A 22,168-nucleotide genomic window follows, 5' to 3' on the forward strand; every position below is an offset into this window, starting at 1 on the left:
AATGCATATATTACCTAGCATAGCTTGATTTAGCCATTCCACAATGTACACATATATCAAAACATTATGCGGTACAACGTAAGTAATAAACAATTTTTAGTTGTCAATTAAAACAACAGCCAAAAAGAAATAAATAGGATCAAGAATCTGTTTAACCTAGGGCTTTTCACACTTTAATGTGCATATAAATCCCCTGGGAATCTTGTTAACATGCAGATTCTGATTCATAAGCTCTGGGGTGAGGCCTGTGGCTCTAACAAGCTTCCAGGTGATACCCATAGTACTGGTCCTTGGGTCACACTTTGAGTAGCAAGCGTAGTCCACTCTTTCCTGGTGCAAATGAAGACACAGAAGTGGACTGGCTAAAGGTCAGTCATAGCAAGTTAGCATCAGGCGAAACTGGGTCCAGACTCCCACCCATTCTGAATTCCCTGCCAGGGTTTCTGTGTGCTGCACCTTACCCCTCTTACTGAATTGAAGTGAGTTTTGGGAAATGCCCAAGGGACTGCTGGCAAGCTGTGAAGCAGTTGGCAACGCTTTGAGAAGGCAGTGCTCACAGATGAGCAAAGGAATGCATCAGAACATCATTTCTCCCATTTCTCAATTTAGAAACAGTGTATCTTTAAAATCCTACACATAATCTCCAGAAGTAAGATATGAAGAAGACCCACGAAATAGAATTAGCAGACAGCTCCCGGCATTCTCTCCAGAGCTAAGTGGTTAAAGGTCAAACTAACTCATGAAGTAAGATTTCACATTTTAATAATAATACTAGGAGGTGAGATAAAGAAACTCACCATCTCATTCCTAGAGCTCAACCAGGAACTTGGGACTTCATCTAGTTTCTTTTTCCAGATTTTGTCACCTCTGGAGAAAATAAACACTTTGGTTTTCCACTGTTACTTTTCTAAGGGCTTAAAAAATCTTGACCAAATAAGACCAGGCGTGGTGGCTCACGCCTGAAATCCCAGCACTTTGAGAGGCTGAGGCGGGTGGGTCACCTGAGGTCAGGAGTTTGGAGACAAGCCTGGCCAACATGATGAAACCCCGTCTCTGCTAAAAATAGAAAAATTAGCCCGGTGTGGTGGCATGCACCTGTAATCCCAGCTACTCGGGAGGGTGAGGCAGGAGAATTGTTTGAACCCGGGAGACAGAGGTTGCAGTGAACCCACATCGCACCACTGCACTCCAGCCTGGGCAACAAGAGCGAAACTTCGTCTCCAAAAAAAAAAAAAAAAACTTAACCAAATAAACCAAAGTGATAATCAGGAGTGGTGAGGAGTCAAAAGGTCATAAAGATTTAATTAGCAGCAACTACTCCTAGCTGACAAGAAAAGGATAGATAATCCTAATATTTCTCCCAAGACGTTACGAAAATCTACCGATGACAGACAACTGAGTCTCAGTCTTCTCATCTGGTTAATGAGGCTAATAACAATTCCTGCCCTGAAGAGGTAACAAATGAGATAATGCTGCAAGGTGATTGCCTAGTAATTTGTGGGGGTATCATCTGGCACAGCTGAACACGTTTTCTTTCCCCAAAAACTAAGCAATGACGGTGAAAGCCCAGCTGGATAACTGTTCAGTGAGAAGGACAAGGAGGAAAGGAATTGAAGGTGTTGATGAGACAAGATCATGGGACCCAGATTAAAAGGAAGGAGGTAAGATCGTGGGGGAGTGATGATGGTGGTGACGGAGGGTGGAGCAAGGTGCTGGCTGCTGCCCAAGTGAGGGGGTTGCAAAGATGAATCAGTCCAGGTCCCTGCCCTCCAACTGCAGAAACCATTTCACCCACACACTTCAGGAACAGCAATACCTAGCCGAACCCCTGTCACTGCTTTCTCACGCCAGCGGAAACTGTCGCCCACCAGGCTTGTGACTGGAAGATGGGCCAGATCCTCCCGATTCCCCACGTAGCTGAACGCTTCCGTTAAAGCCAGGATTCTCTGAAAAGCTGGCTCCTGGAGGAGGCTGCATTGATTTGGGGATTGGAAGCCTGGCACCCAGCTTCTAAATAGTGACACAGGGAGTGTTCCCTATTCATGGGGTTGCATAATGCTTGATTTCTACCGCGTCTCAACAAATGTAGTTACAAGCTCTGAAACCCACACCCAGCAACAAACTTTGGAGTTGCTTTCAGCTTTCCAAGTCCACACTGTTGTGCCTCTGGGCTCCACATCTGTCTGAGGAAGGAGAGGAAAGAGTGGGTTGGTTTCTGTTGTTTTTCCTGTCATACTTTGGCCAAAAATGAGTTGGTGGCAGAAAAGTTGTTCCAAGGCGAGCTTGCAGTCTGGTCTCTCCTTCTTTCCCATACGATACACCACCTCCTTCTACAAGGACATTAAAACAGTTTGCATAAGACTGAGAGTTGTGAAAATAGACACTGGCAGCCTCTGTAGAGCGTAATTGAATCAGTAGGGAAACTCCCTATGATTAACTGCCATTCTCAGTTTATCCCTATTGAAAATGGGTGGATTCTCACGAGTTTCATAATTCAGCAGATTTTAAAAAATCTTTTAAATTGACATATAATAATTGTATGTATGTATGAGGTGGTTTTGATACATGTATACATTGTGTAATAATCAAATCCGAGTATTCAGCATATCCATCACCTCAGTTATCATTTCTTTCTGGTAAGAACATTCAAAATCCTCTCTTCTAGTTATTTTGAAATATACAACACAATATTGTCAACCATAGTCACCCTACTGTCAGCAGACATTTATTGGTGGCTATTATAATGATTAATTTGAGTCCCTGCAATCAAACATTGATTTCTTGCCTGTGCAAGGAAATGTGTAAAAGACCTCTTGCTTTGGTGACACAGGCCACAAGATCCTATGTATTTGAACCCACGAACTTTTTCTCAACTCGTGTTATGTATGGAATATCTAGTGTCTTTTATTCAGAGATGCCTTTGCAATTACTTTTTCCCTCTTGACAGTCAAGTGAAAAAGGGTATTGTTATTTTACTGCACTTTTAGCTGTAGAAGTTGAGTCTCAATAGGGTTAAGTTAAGCAAATAAAGTAAAATAAAGGAGGCTAGAAGTAGAATTAATAATCACCAACTCTAAAATCTGTACATGGAAAGTCCTAGGTTTCTCCCATTCATTCATTCACTCATTCATTCATTCACTCACTCATCCATTCATTCATTCACTCATTCATTCATTCATTCATTCATTCATTCATTCATTGGTTCATTCATCACAGGACTCTGAGGATTCAGCACTGGACGAACTCCCTGCCCTGAAGAGCTTACACTTTAGTGGTGATCAGCCTAATAGAGAGACTCAGCCAGGGTTAAAGAGCTCAAGTCAGGGAGCCATGAACTACACCACCAGGTAGACCTTACTCCATTAAGAGGGCTTCTGACCACCAGGATTTTATGTTTTGTCTCTGAAAGTGATCCATCTCCTTAATTCCCCATAGTAAATATCCTAATACATATATGCATGTAAACCATAGTAAATATCCTAATATATATATGCATGTAAACCTGGATGGTGCTGGAACGCACAACTATGTCGTATGAGGAAAAGGTGATGGAAATGAGACTAGCCTAAGGAGGGAGGCTCCAGGGGTATGTGGGAACCATTTCCATTGATGTGGAGGACTGTCATAGGGAAAGGAGAGAAGACTGTTCTGAGAAGACACAAGGCAAGAACAACCAGAACAAATGGGTAGAAATCACAGGGTTATAATTTGAGGTTCAATTTGTTGGAAACTTCTTACAATCAGAGGGGCTCAAAGACATATTGGACAGCTTAGTAAGGTAGTGAGCTCCCTGCCACCAGAGGCATTCAAGCAAAAACCAGATAATCAGGTGTCAGATGTTCTAAGTCAGGTTCAAGCCTCAAAGTGGGTGTTGGAATAAAGAACTGCTAAGGTACTTAACAGATTCCTGACCCTGGTAGGTTCTCTTCCTTTTTATGCTATCCCTTGCCTCATCCCAGTATTTGAAATCGCAAGGGAACAGTGATGGTCTCAGAAATGGTGCCTAGGTTGGCAAAAGCAGGGTGGTGCCTTCAGCATGTCACATGAGAAAAAGAGTACATCTTGCCCTCATTGTCATGAGATAGTTGAGGGTACCGAGAACCAACATTTAGCAAATTCAGCCATCATTAGTCACAGATACTACTAACACAAATGGAAATGTTAAAAAGAATCAGTTTGAATGAAAGATCCATGGTTTCTGCTTTAAAGTTAATCATGTAGGGGTAACATGTCCCCTCCTTCCATCTTCAGAGGGGACAAACCCATCTTGACTGGTCCCTGCCTTTGGTGGCACTGAGGAGAAGGCTCGTTTGTAAGGCTCATGATTTCATCACTCTTGGCTTCCTTCTAGTGCCCTTGCATTTCTGCCTGGATCTCCAAAGCCTATGTTCTTTGTGTTTGGGTCAGGCGAGGGCCTGACTCCTGATGGCAGGTTGTCCATCAGAACAACTACCTTCTGCATGGACCATTTTCTTCCTCTGGACCGCTCTCTCCTGCCTCTGTCTACGGCAATCTGCCCATCCTTCCATGCTTAGCATGAAGTCCGCTTCCTTCCTAAAGAGGGCCCTGGCCTGGGCACTGTTTGACTACACGTTATTTCTCCTGCAATGGGAAATGGGCTACCAGACTCTCAGAGACCCAAGTGCGAACCTCGTCCAAGGTTCCAAGCAAGCAGCCCATGAAAGGAGAGGCTCCAAGGCAAGGGGCATGGTGAGAACACTTCTGGGAGCTTTGGTCACAGGGTGACCTCCAGAGTTCGTAGACCTCTGACTTGTCTGTTGGTTCTCTCTCACTCCTGCAATTTCCTGTCATGGGCTCTGTTTTGATCTTTTGTCTTTTATATTTATTTATTTATTTATTTTCAGCGCGCTTTGTTGGAAACATGGCTTCTGTTTTGAGTTAATGGTGTCCCTTACAAAGACATGATCAGGCCTGGTGGCTCATGCCTGTATGTAATCCCAGCATTTTGGGAGGCTGAGGTGGGAGGATTACTTGAGCCCAGGAGGTCGAGGTTGTGGTGAGCTATGATAGTGCCACTGCACTCCAGCCTGGGCAACAGAGCGAGACCTAACCCCTAGTACTTGTGGATGTGCTTTTATTTGGAAAAAGGTCTTTTTTTTTGAGATGAGGTTTCACTATGTTGTGCAGGCTTGGTCTCAACCTCCTGGGCTCAAATGACCCTTCTGCCTGGGCCTCCTGAATATTGGGATTACAGGCATGAGCCACTCACTGTACCAGGTTTGGAAAAGGGTGTTTGCAGATGTAATCAAGTGAAGATGAACTCATACTGGATTAGACGGGCCCTAATCCAGTAACTACTGTTTTAGAAAGAGAAACATTTGGCTGCATATGCAGAAGACAAAGAAGGAGAGGCCAGAGGCAGAGACTGGAGCAATATGTCTAAAAAACAAGGAACGCCAAGGATGACAGGCAGCCATCAGAAGGCAGTAAGATGCAAGGAAGGATGCTGCCTTCTCCCAACCTCCAAAATTGTGAGGATACATTGTTGTTGTTTTCAGCCACCTCATTTATGGTAATCTGTTATGGCAGCTGCAGGAAATACCTGCAGCTTTCTTGTGATCTTAGAAATGAATGAGGATTTGCTCAGCTCCCCAATAGGCAGAGAAGGGCAGCAGCGTGCTCCGGGACCCTCGGTGAGTCAGGGCTGGAGGGCGGGGGTCTGGATTCCTTCTTGGCCAATCTTGTGTACCTGAGCCTTGGCTCTGATCGTGGCATGTCCCTGCTCTAGCACCTCCAGTGACTCACCACAGCTTATGAGACGCCTCCTCCTGCCATTCAGGGCCATCAGGAGTCAGGCCCTGGCCTGACCCAAACACAAAGAACACAGGCTTTGGAGATCTTGGGCAAATTTCTTAACTCCTCCAAGCTGTGGTCCTTTCCCCCGGAAAAATGAAGAGACTAGCACAGACCTGACAACACTCTTAGGAGCATGAAATGTTTGGACGGATCTGACTCAGCACAGTGTCTGACATGCGGTAGGGGCTCAGTGCTTTTGCATTCCCTCCTTTTGCCCAGTTGTTGGATGTTCAACACTAACTACCTTCTGCATGGGCCATTTTCTTCCTCTGGACCGCTCTCTCCTGCCTCTGTTGACAGCAATCTGCCCCTCCTTCCATGCTTAGCATGAAGTCCACTTCCTTCCTAAAGAGGGCCCTGGTCTGGGCACTGTTTGACTACAAGTTATTTCTCCTGCAATGGGAAATGGGCTACCAGACTCTCAGAGACCCAAGTGCGATGTCGACCACAACAGAGACCCGTCTCACTGGTGGAGTCCTGTGACAGTCATGCTTGACTCTAACGTCTTTGGGGGCAGTGAGAGCCATTAGCAAAGTGCACTTTTCATTAAGGGGCCCAGCGAGTGGCCACTCAGTCAAGTCACAGAAGTATGTTTGGCTTTCTGCTCCTGTTCAGATCATCAAATGAACCTGTGAGCCCCCAAGCAGCTCTTCCTAGAGGGGGAGCAAACGAAGGACGTGGGTTCTACATACATATATGTGTTTAGAAGCTTTTGGCTTTACGTTTAGCCACAGGAAAGGGCCCTGGATTGAGATTCAGACCACATGGATCCTCATATTGGTGTGGCCACTAAGTTACTGTATGGCCATGCACCTGCGCTGTCAGGGCCTCAGTGTCCTCATTTGTAAAGCCAGGGGAGGTTGACTAGATTATCTCGAAGGGCCTTCCAGACAACGCTCTTCCAGTTCTGACAGTCTGTGCTCATGACAGTCCCATGACTTTGAAAATAAACACATGGTTAATGTTCGTTCTAGAAACACTTGCCATACATTAATTTGGTGGCTGGCATTGTGCTGGAAGTTGGGGATACAAAGAGTGAATAAAATACAGTCACCAGCCATAAGGAGCCCATAGTCTACTGGGGGAGACAGAGAGTTAAAGACGATACTATAGGCCAGGCACGGTGGCTCGCGCCTGTAATCCCAGCATGTTGGGAGGCCGAGGTGGGCAGATCACAAGGTCAGGAGTTCGAGACCAGCCTGGCCTTGGTGAAACCTCGTCTCTACTTAAAAAATACAAAAATTAGCCAGACGCGCTTTTGCGCACCTGTAATCCCAGCTACTCAGGAGGCTGAGGCAGGAGAATCACTTGAACCTAGGAGGCAGAGGTTGCAGCCGGCCGAGATTGTGCCGTTGCACTCCAGCCTGGGCAACAGAGACTCCATCTCAAAAAAAAAAAAAAATTAGCCGGGCATGGTGGTGGGTGCCTGTAATCCCAGCTACTCAAGGGGCTGAGGCAGGAGAATCACTTGAACCTGGCAGGCAGAGGTTGCAGTGAGCCAAGATCACGCACTCCAGCCTGGGCAACACAGCAAGACTCAAAAAAAGACAATATTATAACAGGGCAAGTGCAGAGGTAAGGATGCACACAAGGGCATGTGGAGAGGCGATGAGTAGGCCTAGGCGGTTTACCTGGAGAAAATGGTATCCAAGATGGCTCTGTAAGAATGAGTAAGCCTTGGCCGGGACAAATGGCAGGAGGAGGTCATATCAGTTAGATAGAGCCACATAAGGCATGGCAGGAAGGGAAAAACCACTCTCATGAGCATGGGGAGAAGCATAGGCTATTCTCTGTGGCTGGTTCATAAATTAGGAGTCCAGGAGAAAAGAATGAGGTTGGAGACATAGGCAGGTGCCAGACCTGAACATTCTCATGTGTTATACTGAGGAGTGGGAGTGTACCGTGTGGCTGATGGGAAGCCATTTTGAAGGTTAAAAGGGGAAGAGAGAAAAGGTCAGAGGTGTGGTTTGGTAAGTATTGAAGGTGGCTTTCAGAGGGGCAGGTTGAAGGGAGGAGAGACTTCGGAGCCTGGAGGAGGGAGGTGGGCTTGGGTGTGGACGTGCTTTTTGTAGGTTGGCAGGGGCTGGAGGTTGCTCTAACTGCCTCGTTTTTGTGGGGGAAGCACCCGGTCAGTTCTGCTGAGCTCTGGGGGAGCCAGTGGCTTTGGGAAACTAGTGAGGACTTAGCGTATGTGTTGAGGAGAGTGGGAGAGGGAAGAGAGTCAGGATAAGGGAAAAGATGGCTGGATGGGAGGTGTACTGCTGCTGGAACAAACTGCCACGAACGTAGTGGCCTAAATCAACACAAATTCACAGCGCTGCAGGTTAGAACCCAACACGGGCCTCACTGGGCTAAAACCAAGGTGTCTGATAGCCACCTTAAAGAAGCAAAAAGAAATAGGTAAGTTTTTGTTGTTGTTGTTGTTTTTTGAGACAGACTCTCGCTCTGTCGCCCAGGCAGGAGCGCAGTGGCACAATCTCGGCTCACTGCAACTTCTGCCTCCCAGGTTCAAGTGATTCTCCTGCCTCAGCCTCCCGAATAGCTGGTATTATAGGCATGCACCACTATGCCTAGCTAATGTTTGTATTTTTAGTAGAGACGGGGTTTCACCATGTTGACCAGGCTAGAGAAATAGGTAAAATTAATCTGAATAATTTATTTAAATCAACATAGCCAAAATACTATCATTCAATATATAATGAATATAACATTATGAAGATTTTTTGCATTCTTTTTGTTTTACTAAGTCCTGAAAATCCAGTGTGTAGTTCATACTCGTAGTGCGTCTAAATTTGGGCCAGCTATGGTTCAAGTGGCAGCAGCAGCCTGTGGCTGGTGACTGCGTACTGGGCCGCACAGGCTGCAATGCTCTCCCCCATCTCTTTGCAGGTTCATCTCATTCCTGTCTCTGCCCAGAGCCACCTTCCCTGGCCATGCTGTCTAAACCAGCCACCTCTCACTCCTAGCACTGCCTCCTTTTCTCCAGAGACTTTTCACTATCTGCTATTTCATTAGTTTTTTGTTTACTGTCTGCCCTCCTGCCTCCACCAGAGGCTATAAATCCCATGCAGGCAAAGACCTCTCTATCTGTCCTCTTTAGTGCTATATCCCCAGCAACTATGTGACATTCATGGGAGACTCTCCACAAGTATTTACTAGATGACATTGAAGATTCCAGATTCGTCATGTGTCATCTCTGAAGTCAATGTCCACTGAGTAGGATGTTGGAGGAGGGGCGAGAGGAAGGAGCATTATGTAAGACGTAAGGTGGGAGGAAGCTGGTCCAAATCCTCTGTGAGATGAAAGGCTTACTCCTGGATGTCAAGTTTAGGGCTGGGACTCCTGATGGCAGCATTTCCTTCCAACTGCGACCCGGTTGTGTGTAGTTTCAACCACTAGCTTATCTGGTTTGACGAGAAACCATCCACCGAGCAGCATTTCTGCCTGCTACCAGTAGATGGGGGCAGTGTCATTAAAAAAGTACACTGCAGTTTCTAACCTGTTTCCCAGCTCCACTTTGCTGACAGTCTGTTCTGGAGTTGCCCTGTCTCAGATCTGTGATGTGGACTCCCACATGGTGCTGCCAGCTCTCCCAGCTGAAGAAACGCAGCCTTAATTGTGATGTGTGCTTCAGGTGGGGTGGTCAGCTTCTCCATAAGGTGAGGCGGGCCCTAGAGGCTGGCACAGGTCCAGGCCACAAGGGGACCGCGGGTTCTCCTCCAGGGCATGACTCACACCAGGGTGTTCACACTGGCCTAGAACCTTTCTGTTCTCCCAAGGTTGGAAACAAGCTTATTAGGAAGGCGGTCAAGGCGTGACATAGCCTCGTCAACAGGAGCAGCTCTGTGGGCCTGTGCCGCTGGGACTGGCACTCCGGCTGCTGCTGAACAGCCCGGCCCACCAGTAGACTCCTCCCTGCCTCTGTGGGCCACTGGGGTCCATGCCACTGCATGAAGTGCAAAGTGGTGCCTCTCGCTGAGGCTGAGACCAGCCTTAGCTCCTGCTACTACTCCCTCTTCCTCTTCCCCAAACCCTCTTGAGCCTTGGAACTTTGAGCGATTTGGAAATGATCACTGCTTAAACATGATGTCTGCTTTTGTGGAGTTCAAGATTATGGACCTACTAAAGGTCACTGAACACAGCCTCATTTGATATGTTTTTACCAGAGTTTTTGTTCTTTAGAGCGTGTGCTATCTCCTTCATTGCCACTACAAGATAGCCTAGAAATTTAAGGAATTAATGTTGCCTTAAATGGCTTATTATAGTACTAACTACCTCATTCCAACAGCATGTCTGGTATCCCTCCATTAACCCATCAGTGCAGCTGAGGAGTAAGGCATTATAGCTCTGGTTGAAGGACCCTGTGGGGCCAGTTAGCCATGAAGAGGCCATTCCTTCCCTTGGAGTGTAAGAGAGCCAAAAAACACAATCAGGAAGGTTTATTCTTTGATTGTTACAAGCTCCATCTTAATTACTACATGTGTATGCATTTTCTTTCTTTCTTTCTTTCTTTTTTTTTGAGACGGTCTCACTGTGTCATCCAGGCTGGAGTGCAGTGGCGCGATCTCGGCTTACTGCAACCTCCGCCTCCCGGGTTCAAGGGATTCTCCTGCCTCAACTTCCCAAGTAGCTGGAATTACAGGCGTGCACCACCATGCCCAGCTAATTTTTGTATTTTTAGTAGAGATAGAGTTTTGCCATGTTGGCCAGGCTGGTCTTGAACTCCTGACCTCAAGTGATCCACCCGCCTCAGCCTCCCAAAATGCTGGGATTACAGGCGTGAGCCACCGCGCCTGGCCTTATGCATGCATTTTCATGCTTCTGTAATTTTGCTACCCTCTATACCCATAAAGCCCTTCAGTCTTTTCCTATTTGGATAAATTCTGTTTATCTTTCAAAGGTCACCACCTCCATGAAGCCTTTTCTGATTTTCCTAGTCACAATGAATGCTTTCTTCCTCCAGCTTCTCATAGTGCTTTGAGTCTTTCTCATAGCATTTAGCCCACTCTGTCTTCTTGTCCACATGCATATCTTGCTCATTAATTCTAGTTACTGAGTGCCTATTTGTACCATATTGGGGATACAGGGTACTTGCAGAGAACCCACAGTCCAGTGGAAACCCAGAGTTGGGTAGAGTTTACAACCTTCATTGGACTAGGAGGCAGGAATCCCGTCTGCTCCTAGCTCAGGGCCGGGCACCAAAAGGTAGTCAGAAAAGTAACTTAAATGGAAACTCAGCAAAGTAACTTAAATGGAAACTCAGCATCAACGACTCTGAGAAAATTGAGTTAGATTTCAAAGGAAGGTTAAAAGTTGGCAAAGGTAGAGGGTGGGCAGGGGTCAGTTTTATTTTGTTGGAATATCCCAAGGGAATTTCCAGGTATGGTTGCAGTGACTCTGGCATGAAGACCTGGCGTGGAAGCCAGAGACATCAAAGATCCCCAGGGGACTGGGATGGTGGGAAGGGATCACTGTCCTCCTCCAGGACCAGGCTGGGAGTTTGATGCAGGATCATTCGGACATTGATCCCACTCCAGCCATACGTCTTTTTGCTTTGACTGACCATACCATAGAGGCAAGCAGGCTGTTTCAAGGGCCCAGAAATGAGTTACTGGCTAAGGGTCAAGCCGGTCAGAAGACAACTACACTGTCCAGTTGGCACATGATAAAAGCAATACTGATGCAATTATCACTCCCATTGGAGGGTGGCCTGGCATTATTTGTCACTTAAATAAAAAACGTCATTTGAATTTTTACTAGGAATTCTCATCCAAAATATGTCAATGATAGAATGAAACCGCATGACCGGCTTGCCAAAGTAAACTAAGTCCTAACGACACACGAGCATTAGAAATTGTGTGTATCTCAGAAAACTGCTCTACCCTGAGGCCTGACAGCAGGAGGGGGTCTTGCCGGGGTTCGGACGGGGAAAAGCCTTATTCATTGACGGTATTCTACAGTAGTCACCCCAATCATGTTACCACTCACCTCACTTTACACTGTCTGCTGCTTACCTGTGAATACGAGCTCAAGATAGTGAGAGATAAGCCTTGGTGTTTTCTGTGCCTCTCTCTTTTCTTTAATGGAATACAATTCTGAAAATAATATTAAACAGCACCCAGTCATTCTCAGAAAGCCGTCACACAAGGAAGAAACCACTATTTTCCCAAACTTTTTGTACAGGAAATTATAATCTGTAATCTCATCTTCTGCCACCTCCCTCAGAAGTTTCGATCTAGACATACATGTATTCAGTGAGTGGCAATTCAGCCTGGGGGGTGGAGTGTCAGGATTCAAATCTTTTTGCTGCGGGGTAACCCCAGGTCCCAGTGATTTCCATAGACAAAAGAGATGCTGGTAAATTTGGGATGTAATTGGAGGATTGGACCGGTCTCCCCGCTCCCTCGACCAATGGCTGTCACGCGGTCCCTTTAAGAAACCAGGAATCCGCCCGGAGTCGGAGCCCAAAACAGATCCTCTTCTCTGCTCCTCCCCTGTCCCCGCGCGGCGAATGGTTCGCGCCGGCCTATATTTACCCGAGATCTTCCTCCCGGACGGCAAGGATGTGAGGCAGGCGAGCCGGACGCCGCTCGCAGCACCGGAGAGGGCGCACTGCAAAGGCGGGCAGCAGACCGTGGAGAGCCCGGGAGCGGAGCTGGACACCGCCTCGGAGGGAAGAAATGAGGTAGCGGCGGTTCCCGGACCCGGCCATGCCCGTCCCCTGTTCTCGGAGCCCAGCGCCGTCTCGGCCAGGCCAGCCCGGACACTGAGCGGGCCGAGCGCGAGTCCCCGGCGTCCGGCGGAGCGAAGATGCAGTGAGTCCCCGCGGGACTGCTGCGCGGGGCCCGCCGCGGCCAGCCGGACCCAGCATCCGACCGCACTTTGGGCGAGCTGCTGACTTGAGACCAGCCCAAACGGGGGGCTTTCCATCTCCAGCACCCCTCGGAGGTGGGGAGCACCGGCCCCTAGGCACACTCGCTGTAGAGTTTCCGCGGGTTTTGGCCCCAGTCCTGAGGGTTGTGTGTGTTAGGGGACCCACCTCACGTTCGCCGAGGAGTTCCTGCATATTCTTGCACCATCCCGGGTGCTGTTGCTGGGGCTCTCTTTATTTGCACGCGCGCTTCTAGCTTTTTTCCTGACATTTTCCACTCTACGCTCGTTCTTTCTCCCTTGCATTTTGTTGCTTGCCTGAGACTCTTTGCTCTCGCCCTTGCCCAGGCTGGGGTAATTCTGTGTGCGCGCGTGTCTCCCCCGCACCAACCTTTTTTGCACACTCGAAGCTGAATATTTTCTTTTTTAGAGAATTTACCCGCACCTCCTGCGGGGTTCCTAAGCACTCTCTCTGCTCCCCTCCCCCCAACTCCCTACCACAGGGCCGCTCCCAGTAGTTTTATTCTTCGATCTTGCCCGGGCCGAGCCTGGCAGGGGCCGGTGGCTCAGCGGGCCTCGCACCCGGCGCTCCGCCGCCGCCGCCGCCCAGCTGCGCCGGGGCGCCCTCCGGAGATGCTGCCGTGGAAGAAGCACAAGTTCGAGCTGCTGGCCGAGGCGCCGCCGCGGCAGGCGTCCAAGCCCAAGGGCTACGCTGTGAGCCTGCACTACTCGGCGCTCAGCTCGCTGGCGCGGGCGTGCCCCGAAGGCGCGCTTAGCCGGGTGGGCAGCATGTTCCGCTCCAAGCGCAAGAAGCTGCACATCACTAGCGAGGACCCAACTTACACCGTGCTCTACCTGGGCAATGCCACCACCATCCAGGCGCGCGGCGACGGCTGCACCGACCTTGCTGTGGGCAAGATCTGGAGCAAGAGCGAGGCGGGCCGTCAGGGCACCAAGATGAAGCTGACGGTGAGTGCGCAGGGTATCCGCATGGTGCACGCCGAGGAGCGCGCGCTGCGCCGCCCGGGCCACCTCTACCTGCTGCACCGCGTCACCTACTGCGTGGCCGACGCGCGGCTGCCCAAGGTCTTCGCCTGGGTGTACCGGCACGAGCTGAAGCACAAGGCCGTGATGCTGCGCTGCCACGCCGTGCTGGTGTCCAAGCCCGAAAAGGCGCAGGCCATGGCCCTGCTGCTCTACCAGACGTCGGCCAACGCGCTGGCGGAATTTAAACGCCTCAAGCGGCGGGACGACGCGCGTCACCAGCAGCAGGAGCTGGTGGGCGCACACACCATCCCGCTAGTGCCGCTGCGCAAGCTGCTCCTACACGGACCCTGCTGCTATAAACCGCCGGTGGAGCGCAGCCGCAGCGCGCCCAAGCTTGGCTCCATCACCGAGGACCTGCTCGGCGAACAGCTGGAGCAGGAGCTGCAGGAGGAAGAGGAAGAGGAGCAACCCGAGGGCTGCCCGGAGGAGGAGGAGAACCGTGCGGCAGAGGGAGATCCAGCAGAGGAGGAGGCCGAGGCGCAGCGTGCGCTAGTGGTCGCCATGCACTTTGAGTGCGGGGACTTGTTGGATACTCTGGAGAATGGCCGTGGGGAGGCGCTAGGAGGCGGCGGGGGCTCCCTGGGCCCGGGGGCCGGGCCGCCGCCTCTGCTGCTGGGCAGCGCCTCCGACATGAAGGCTGAGCTGTCGCAACTTATTAGCGACCTGGGCGAGCTCAGCTTCGGCAACGACGTGCGCACCCTGCAGGCCGACTTGCGGGTGACGCGCCTGCTGTCAGGCGACAGCACGGGCAGCGAGAGCTCCATCGAGGGCGGGGGCCCTGACGCCACCTCCGCCACCGCCGGGGACTCGTCCCGCCAGGCCGACGGCGCCAGTGCAGACGAGCCCCACTCGGGCTGAGCTCCTCCGCGCGTCGCCGGCGCTCCACCGTGGCTACCCATCCGTGGTCCCGACAACCTCCCTGTCCCTTGCCCGCCCCCAGGAAGGGGGAAATGGGGCATTTGGGGCCCAGACCTACACTTGGAGCCCAGGTCCAGCGTTCCCCCGACCGCTTTCCCCTACCTCCCGGCCCCCGCTCCCGCCCCAGCACTTTTGGCTCTGTTGCGCGTGGGGATGCGGGGAGATTTGAGAGGGGAAAACCCCGCCAGGAGGGAGAGAGAGGCACCCCTCTGGGATGCGGGTGAGGGAAGGTTGGCTGAAGTTCCTAGTCTCAGGCCGTAGGTGCCTGGCCAGTTTCCTGTTTGTGGGGCAGCTGGGGCCTGAGGAGGAGGGGTTCACTTCCTCCTCCCACCCCCTGGGAGCGGCCCTGCGCTGTCACTGACATCTCATTAAAAAAAAAAAAAAATTTGCTCTCAAGGTGTTTGAGGCTTTAATGCAACCCTTTAGCCCTTGGTTCTTTTTGGTGCAAGAATTCTGGCTGTTTACCTCAGACTCAGACCCCTGAAATGTTGCCAAATTCTTCAAATAACTGTTTGGGGGGTGGGGGGAGATGAAAGAGAGTCGCGTTTTGTTTACAGTTAAAGACATCCAATATCTTAAAAAGGAGTTTTCCTTTAGAAACACACACACCCTTCCTCTTGCTCAAAAGATCTCACTCCATGATACTGTGTAAAATATTTTTGCACTGTTGTGAAGTATTTTTGACTTTTTTCTGTACATAACTGTGTTCTCAGAGCTGAATGTTTATATCTTTTGCTGTGCAAAAGAAACATGTAAAATGTTGTTCAGTTGTATATACAGAAATGTGTATAAAACATTTTGTTATTTTTTAAAAGTAGCACTGTTCTGGTTCTGTTTGCACGCCAGTGGGGAGAGAATAAAGAGGAAAATTTAACAGAACAGGTGAGCGTCTGGAACTGCTGCGTTGGGGTGGGAGAGGCTGTGTCTGACCCTGGGATGGTGTCATAAGACAGTCTTTGGCCTTTCCTGTGCTTGGAGAGAATTAGGGAAGGAAGGTCCACTTTATGCGCCATCTGGGGCCTTCCTGGACCTCCACAACTCTGGGTGCTGTGTCTGGGACCAGCCTTTTCTTGTATTATCCTGTATTTTTCAGTAATTAAGTTGTGTGATCTTTTTCTGGTCTTTTGGAGAGGCCACGGTGAGTTCCATATCGCACTCCCAGACCTGTGAGGTTATTTATGGAGGAGTGACTTCCAGATCTGCTGAGATTTTACTACCTCCTTCTGTGGGCCATGCTAATAATCAAGCGTAAGGAGACTACCTTATCTTTTCCTTTACAAACAGCTCAGGGAGCTTTAAAGATGAACTAGAAACCCAAAGAGGAGTTCTCTGAGGAGTGGGGCCATCTCTGTTTTTCCTGGGAGGAAAACCAAGGAGAGAAAAGTTGACAAGTTCCGATCCTGGTGTGAGTGAGTCACGGTGCAGGTGGGTGGGTGGCTGGGCAGGCTGCAGAGCCCATTTCCTTCCCTTCTACAACCCAGTGTGACCCAGTTGGGGGATGGCGCGAAGGTCGAGGGGGAGAGGAGCTGTTAGAGCGCGGTATGGGTGTGCATGTTTCAGCGCTTTCATGCTTTCTGTGTGTTTGTTTCTGTTGTAAACTCCAAACAGATGTCTCTAGTTTGGCTACACCCGATCAGCTGGAAGTTGTAATAAGATGCTGCCAAAACTGTGCCTTCTGCAAATTATATTTTCCTTTTGCCCCTTGAGGCCTCTCTTCCTGTGTTGCAGAAATGGATCTCACTCCTGGCCTTCCCTGGTGTCCTGAGGCCACTTTGCTTTGTTTTCATCATAAATATGTTCTGAGCAGCTAGACCCAGAAATCCTAAGGAGTCTGGAATTCACTGGAACCATAGAGGAAAGAGGGGTGAAAGATTTTCTTCCTAATTAACAGGAATGGTTCAGGCATAGAACTATCTTTAAAAAAGAAAAGCAAAGGGGGCGAGTGGAAAATATGTGTGTGTGTGTGTGTGTGTGTGTGTGTGTGTATATATATATATATTTTTTTTTTTTTTTTGAGACGGAGTTTCACTCTTGTCACCCAGGCTGGAGTGCAATGGTGCAATCTCAGCTCACCGCAACCTCCACCTCCCGGGTTCAAGCGATTCTCCTGCCTCAGCCTCCCAAGTAGCTGGGATTACAGGCATGCGCCACCACGCCGGGCTAATTTTGTATTTTTAGTAGAGATGGGGTTTCTCCATGTTGGTCAGGCTGGTTTCAAACTCCCGACCTCAGGTGATCTGCCCACCTTAGCCTACCAAAGTGCTGGCATTACAGGCGTGAGCCACTGTACCCAGCTGAGTGGAAAACATTTAAAAAAAATTCAGTCTTAAGGGCCTTAGGACGTCCAGGCCTTTGAATCTATTATATTTTGGCTTGGTTGTGCGTCCCGATCCCTCTCCCTGAATACCTCAGATACACATCATTGAATGACATTAAAAACCCCAGCTAGAGAGAGGTCAGGAAAGTCCAGTCTCAGCCCAGCCACCCATCCCAGCCCTTCCACACCAGTGTGCTCACCTGATAAGCAGACGGCTGTGTGGGCCATCACTAGCCTGCGTGACTAGATTTCACATTTGAAATTATTCCCATGCATAGCCAAGTTCCTCTGCTGTTTGAAACTGATGAAGAGATGAGACAGAGTGAAGATAATATGGCTAATACTTGGGAGACAGGGCAGGGTCTGTGTGTCTTCATTCTTATCTAGTTTAAGTGTCCTGTGAGAATGCCAATGTTGGCTTTCATCTGTGACTGACAGGCATGTGGTGGTTGGTCCAAAAGTTCAGGCAAATAGTGTTGAAACCAACACCATCAATAAATATAAAGCAGCCATCTCTTTAAAGTCTGATATTTCCTCTCATGTGATTTATAAATAGGAAGGGGGGCTTGAAGGTTGAGGAGGAGGAAGAAGAAAATAAGCAGGCTGGAAAGAGCCAGCTCCCTTCCTCCTCCGTCTGTGCCCTCCCCATCTCTCCTTCCTCCCCTCTGCTTTTTGGCATCGATCCCCACTGCACCTCAGAGCTCTGACTGATGTAATTCTAGAAGAGATGTGAAGGTGACACGTGATTCACCTCTTCTGACTTCTCAGTCTTCCAGGGATGATATCACTAGAGTAAGAAGAGATGTTTTGAATGAAAATAAAAGAAAGACCCTAAAACTACTTTGCTCCTGGAGCTCAGAGGGAAAAGAATGGAGCGACAAAAGCAAAGCTAAGTCATTAGATAAAATACACCTTCCAGAAAACACCTGAAGTCTGGTTTACTCATCAAATTTAGCTTTTCTTTCCTGCAAAGTGAGGCTCATGTTTCTCCATGACTTAACCTGATGGTACTTTAAATGCACTGAGACACTTTCCACGTTCTTTCCCAGCCTAGGTAATCCTCCGTGTTCAACAATGCAGCATCGACTGCATGAAAAACAGGGTGACTCCCGGCGGCACGCGGTCCTCCAGGGGTGGCAGCGTGAGTCTGGGAGGAGGCATTCATCGACTCCTCACAGCACAAACATCCCATGTTCACTTCTACCATTTGTCGCATATGTAAGCAGGAAGGTGGGAGGAATAAAATGGCATAAAATAAACAATAGTATTTCATACCCTCCCAACTATGACAGCTTCAGAGAACCCCCTCCACACACACGTGTGTGGACACACATGGTTTCCCTAAAGAAACACCTCTCACTGCCCCACAGTCAGCAGAACAGATTTTAACCAAATTAGAAAGGCTCTGTTATACTAAGAAAGCACAATTCCCTCCCAGGGGACAGAGCTGTTTTTGAGGGTTCTGCTTGTGAGTAGAGAGAGAACTGGTTGGAAGAATCTACCCCTGGCACCATACTGGAGATTTAAAAATCTCATTGTAGTTGCCAAGGATCACGAGAAACATAGAAATTCTATTAGGAGCAAGTTGCCGTCTTTTTAAACAGGATTTAGTAATTTAATAAGCAGAACTCTTTCCTCTGTGTGGTATGCATCAGTAGTCCCAGCATCTGCTGCTAAGTGATGCATGACAGAGCTAGAAATGTGCACGGACTGCTGGGGTAGGAGCCATGACTGACACATGGGGAACTACTCAGGGCTCCAGGCAGCCAGGAGGGTGCTAGGCCCAGGGCGCTCTGCACTCTCTGCTCCAGGCTTGTTGCACATGTCCACTGTCTTAGTCCGTTTCGTGTTGCTATAAAGAATACCTGAGGCTGGGTAATTTATTTATATTTATTGATTTATTTATTTTGAGACAGAGTTTCACTCTTGTTGCCCAGGCTAGAGTGCAATAGCATGACCTTGGCTCACCACAACCTCCATCTCCCGGGTTCAAGCGATTCTCCTGCCTCAGCCTCCCGAGTAGCTGGGAATATAGGTGCCCTCCACCTCACCCGGCTAATTTTGTGCTTTTTTTTTTTTTTAGTAGAAACAGGGTTTCACCATGTTGGTCAGGCTGGTCTTGAGCTCCTGACCTCAAGTGATCCACCCGCCTTGGCCTCCCGAAGTGCTGGGATTACAGGCATGAGCCACCATGCCTGGCAAGGCTGGGTAATTTATAAAGGAAAGAGGTTTATTTGGCTCAAGGTTCTGCAGGCTGTACAAGAAGTGTGGTGCCAGCTTCTGCTCTGGTGAGGCCTCAGGCTGCTTGCACTCATGGCGGGAGGTGAACTGGAGCAGGAATCAAATGGCAAGAGGAAGGAAGCAAGAGATAGGGAGAAGGGCAGTGCCAGGCTCTTTTGGACAACCTGCTCTCGAGTGAGAGAGAAATCACTCATTGCCTCCGTCTCCCCACAGGGAGAGCATTAACCTATTCATAAGGGATCCACCTCCATGACCCAAATACCTCCCATTAGGCCCCACCTCCAACACTGGGATCAAATTTCAAGAAGAGATTTGGGGGAACAAATATCCAAACTACAGCGGCCACACCTGGATCTGGCTTGACCAGTAGCCGGGGCCGTTTCTGTTCCTTCTGGCTCACCCCTGTTCGTAGGCCCAGTGTCCCCTAGACCAAACCCCCACTGCTTGCTCTAAAGCTCTTGTGACCCAGTTTGAGCGCCTTGACTAACCATCGTCTTGGTGGTTTGAATGGTGAGAAGATGGCCCTGGAACTTGGCACTCCTTCCTTCCTCTTTCTTGAGCTGCTCAGTGGTACCAGAAAAGGACCTTGTTTCTAACCCTCCATGGGGAGTGACATTTCTGAAGGCCTCCTCTTCTCCCCTCCTCTTCATCTCTACCCCTTCCTCCTTCTCCAGTTCACACCTCATTCCCCTATGGCACAGCTCCCCATCTGAATTTCTCCTTTCCACAAACCTAGCTGATATCTTATATTGCCTGAAAGAAAAGATAGCCCAGGCTTTAAAGGAAAAGCAAACCAAGCACAGAGGCATCAGCCAGCACCAATCCTGCAACTCCAGGGCATGCTAAGGGACCAAGACCCACGGGTCCAAACTCCTAGACTGATGCGCTTTTAATAGGCCTCCAGTTATTTTATTTTATTTTTTTGAGACAGAGTCTTTCTCTGTCACCCAGGCTAGAGTGCAGTGGTATGATCTTCACTCACTGCAGCCTCTGCCTCTGGGGTTCAAGTGATTCTCCTGCGTCAGCCTCCAAGTAGCTGGGATTAGAGGCGTACACCACCACGCCCAGCTATGTTTTTAAATTTTTAGTAGAGGCGAGGTTTCGCTATGTTGGCCAGGCTGGTCTCGAACTCCTGACCCCAAGCGACCCGCCGGCCTTGGCCTCCTAAAGTACTAGGATTACAGGCGTGAGCCACTGCACCCAGCCTAGGCCTCCAGTTTTTCTGGCATATAAATAAATTGTTCCCTTTGGGATGGCAGAAACTGGCATTTGGATTTCCCCTTACTTTCCCCCTTATTTGTACTCCCACATTTCATACATGGTAGCTGCTTGATGAGAACTATTTCTGACATTGTTCAGCAACCCCCCCCCCACCCCCTACTCCCCAGACCAAGTGTGAATGAATATGTACTAGATGCATGACGCTGGAGGTAAAGAGGCCGGGGGTCTGTCTTCCTGGGGAGAATGCTGCCGGTGGGTGGGGTGCAGCCCCCAGGGGAACTTCGTCTTCTTTTGCTCCCACCCTTGGTATCTGGTGTGGTGAGACCCCATCCTAGAAGAGTGGATCTAGTTTGTGGGTGGAGAAGCTCTTGCCATTGTATCATGGATATGAATCATTTGTGTCCTTCCTGGTTGGCTGAATTCTTCAAGGACAGGCATATGTCTTAGGCAGCTCTGATTTACCTCACTTAACATGGGGTCTGGCACCTAGTAGGTACTCAGGAAATGCAAAGGAAGGAGTAAAGGAGTGATTCCACTCCAGGAGAGAACAGGTCTAATCAAGTTCAAGGTCATTGTCCAGAAGTAGGAACCAAGGTTTCAAGGATATATGTTTGGTGAGGAGGGAAAATTGGAAATCATTCAATTCCTCACCTCTCCATGAGGTATATTTAATTCCCAAGAATTTCCTTGGAATGTCCCTGACCTTCTAGGGAGGGGTGGTTCTGGTTTGGAGAAGGATGGTTTATTTGGAATCGGCTTTGAACGGAATTGGAGTCTTATCCCTGCTCATCCCAGCCCCAAATTAACTGCCCAAACCTCCCTAAATTGTGCCAAATGAAGACTCAAACAATGTGATGGTGTGGCAGAAAGCCAGGGAGACACGGGTCCAGGCCTGGAGAGCCCTGGACTTCCTCAGTGTGTGAGTCAATCAAGTCACTTCCCCTCTCCAGCCCCAGGATCATCCCAGGTAAAGTGGGTGCCCTTGATTAGACAATAACAAGACTTTCACTATTGTGACGTAAAGAAGCCAAGGTTAAGGTCAAGAGTGTTTCTCCCTTCCCCCTTTCCCTAGTAGGACAAAACAGAAGAAGCCTCTGACTATGGGCTAGAAACTATCTCGGGCTCTGAGGACAGGGCTCGTCTTCAGGACCTACGTTCCTGGACCTTCACCAACGTCTGGTTTGGAAGTGACATTCCCTTGGCGAAGCCAGGAACCAGCTAGTAGATATCCCTTTCATTACCTCAAAACTTAGAGGCCATGGTGGGTCCTGAAACGGCAACTGGCACTGAATCCAAGGGCCAAGTTAGGGTTCAGAGAAGTGCAATCGCTTGCCTAAGATTACTCAGCAAGCTGGGACCAGAACTCAAGGCCCCTGACTCCAAGTCCTACACTCTTTCCCATGAATCCTTTAAGGTGGGGATAAGTTAGTATGGAGGCAACCCAGGGTACTGTCCAAGGAAACTTGGCAGAGCCTAAACATCTGGTCAAAGGCCGTGAGGGCATCTGGCAGCAGGGAGTTTGGGGCTCCTGGCAAGGGAGACCAAGACCCACTTGAGGAAGTCTGGGAAGAAGAGTGAGTTGATGGCCTGGGGAATGCTTCCCTGTCTGTCTTGCAGCAGGCTCCTCCTGCTCCAGGACTCACCCCCATCCTGGATTCTTTCTCTAAAAGGGTTGGGTCTTGGCTGATGACTGGGGAGTCTCCCTACCCTCTGCTCCAGGATTAGCCAATCATGGCT

General features: G+C 49.4%; 2 protein-coding genes across 2 annotated transcripts, besides 9 other annotated features; one reads left to right on the top strand and one right to left on the bottom strand.

Moving 5' to 3' along the window:
* Positions 1 to 157: 157 nt before the first annotated feature.
* Positions 158 to 13,403, bottom strand: LOC124909474 (uncharacterized). Its single transcript, XM_047449428.1, has 3 exons — positions 12,354 to 13,403; positions 11,832 to 11,912; positions 158 to 2,330 (listed from the first exon to the last, which is right to left on the bottom strand). Exons 1-3 carry the CDS (start codon positions 12,745 to 12,747, stop codon positions 2,137 to 2,139), a joined length of 669 nt encoding a protein of 222 aa, XP_047305384.1. The 5' UTR covers positions 12,748 to 13,403; the 3' UTR covers positions 158 to 2,136.
* Positions 991 to 2,190: an enhancer, noted in NCBI's record as "P300/CBP strongly-dependent group 1 enhancer chr3:194395226-194396425 (GRCh37/hg19 assembly coordinates)". NCBI's record gives its function as "activates an origin of replication core promoter dependent on BRD2, BRD4, P300/CBP, MED14 and CDK7 cofactors, with strong dependence on P300/CBP, by STARR-seq in HCT116 cells {active_cell/tissue: HCT116}" and the evidence as "EXISTENCE:reporter gene assay evidence [ECO:0000049][PMID:35650434]".
* Positions 9,372 to 9,421: an enhancer, noted in NCBI's record as "active region_21032". NCBI's record gives its function as "activates an Ori minimal core promoter by ATAC-STARR-seq in GM12878 lymphoblastoid cells {active_cell/tissue: GM12878}" and the evidence as "EXISTENCE:reporter gene assay evidence [ECO:0000049][PMID:35858748]".
* Positions 12,107 to 12,466: an enhancer, noted in NCBI's record as "active region_21033". NCBI's record gives its function as "activates an Ori minimal core promoter by ATAC-STARR-seq in GM12878 lymphoblastoid cells {active_cell/tissue: GM12878}" and the evidence as "EXISTENCE:reporter gene assay evidence [ECO:0000049][PMID:35858748]".
* FAM43A (family with sequence similarity 43 member A) lies at positions 12,377 to 15,531 on the top strand. The gene has a single exon (NM_153690.5). It carries the CDS (start codon positions 13,321 to 13,323, stop codon positions 14,590 to 14,592), a length of 1,272 nt encoding a protein of 423 aa, NP_710157.2. The 5' UTR covers positions 12,377 to 13,320; the 3' UTR covers positions 14,593 to 15,531.
* Positions 13,207 to 13,396: a silencer, noted in NCBI's record as "silent region_15027". NCBI's record gives its function as "represses an Ori minimal core promoter by ATAC-STARR-seq in GM12878 lymphoblastoid cells {active_cell/tissue: GM12878}" and the evidence as "EXISTENCE:reporter gene assay evidence [ECO:0000049][PMID:35858748]".
* Positions 13,207 to 13,723: a biological region, named in NCBI's record as "H3K27ac-H3K4me1 hESC enhancer GRCh37_chr3:194407453-194407958".
* Positions 13,218 to 13,723: an enhancer, noted in NCBI's record as "H3K27ac-H3K4me1 hESC enhancer chr3:194407453-194407958 (GRCh37/hg19 assembly coordinates)". NCBI's record gives its function as "activates a minimal SCP1, AML or CMV promoter by ChIP-STARR-seq in naive H9 embryonic stem cells {active_cell/tissue: H9 hESC(naive)}" and the evidence as "EXISTENCE:reporter gene assay evidence [ECO:0000049][PMID:30033119]".
* Positions 13,724 to 14,227: an enhancer, noted in NCBI's record as "H3K27ac-H3K4me1 hESC enhancer chr3:194407959-194408462 (GRCh37/hg19 assembly coordinates)". NCBI's record gives its function as "activates a minimal SCP1, AML or CMV promoter by ChIP-STARR-seq in naive H9 embryonic stem cells {active_cell/tissue: H9 hESC(naive)}" and the evidence as "EXISTENCE:reporter gene assay evidence [ECO:0000049][PMID:30033119]".
* Positions 14,227 to 14,526: a silencer, noted in NCBI's record as "silent region_15028". NCBI's record gives its function as "represses an Ori minimal core promoter by ATAC-STARR-seq in GM12878 lymphoblastoid cells {active_cell/tissue: GM12878}" and the evidence as "EXISTENCE:reporter gene assay evidence [ECO:0000049][PMID:35858748]".
* Positions 16,074 to 16,193: an enhancer, noted in NCBI's record as "active region_21034". NCBI's record gives its function as "activates an Ori minimal core promoter by ATAC-STARR-seq in GM12878 lymphoblastoid cells {active_cell/tissue: GM12878}" and the evidence as "EXISTENCE:reporter gene assay evidence [ECO:0000049][PMID:35858748]".

This window comes from Homo sapiens, chromosome 3 (assembly GCF_000001405.40).
Source record: "Homo sapiens chromosome 3, GRCh38.p14 Primary Assembly".
NCBI classification, from domain to species: Eukaryota; Metazoa; Chordata; class Mammalia; order Primates; family Hominidae; genus Homo; species Homo sapiens.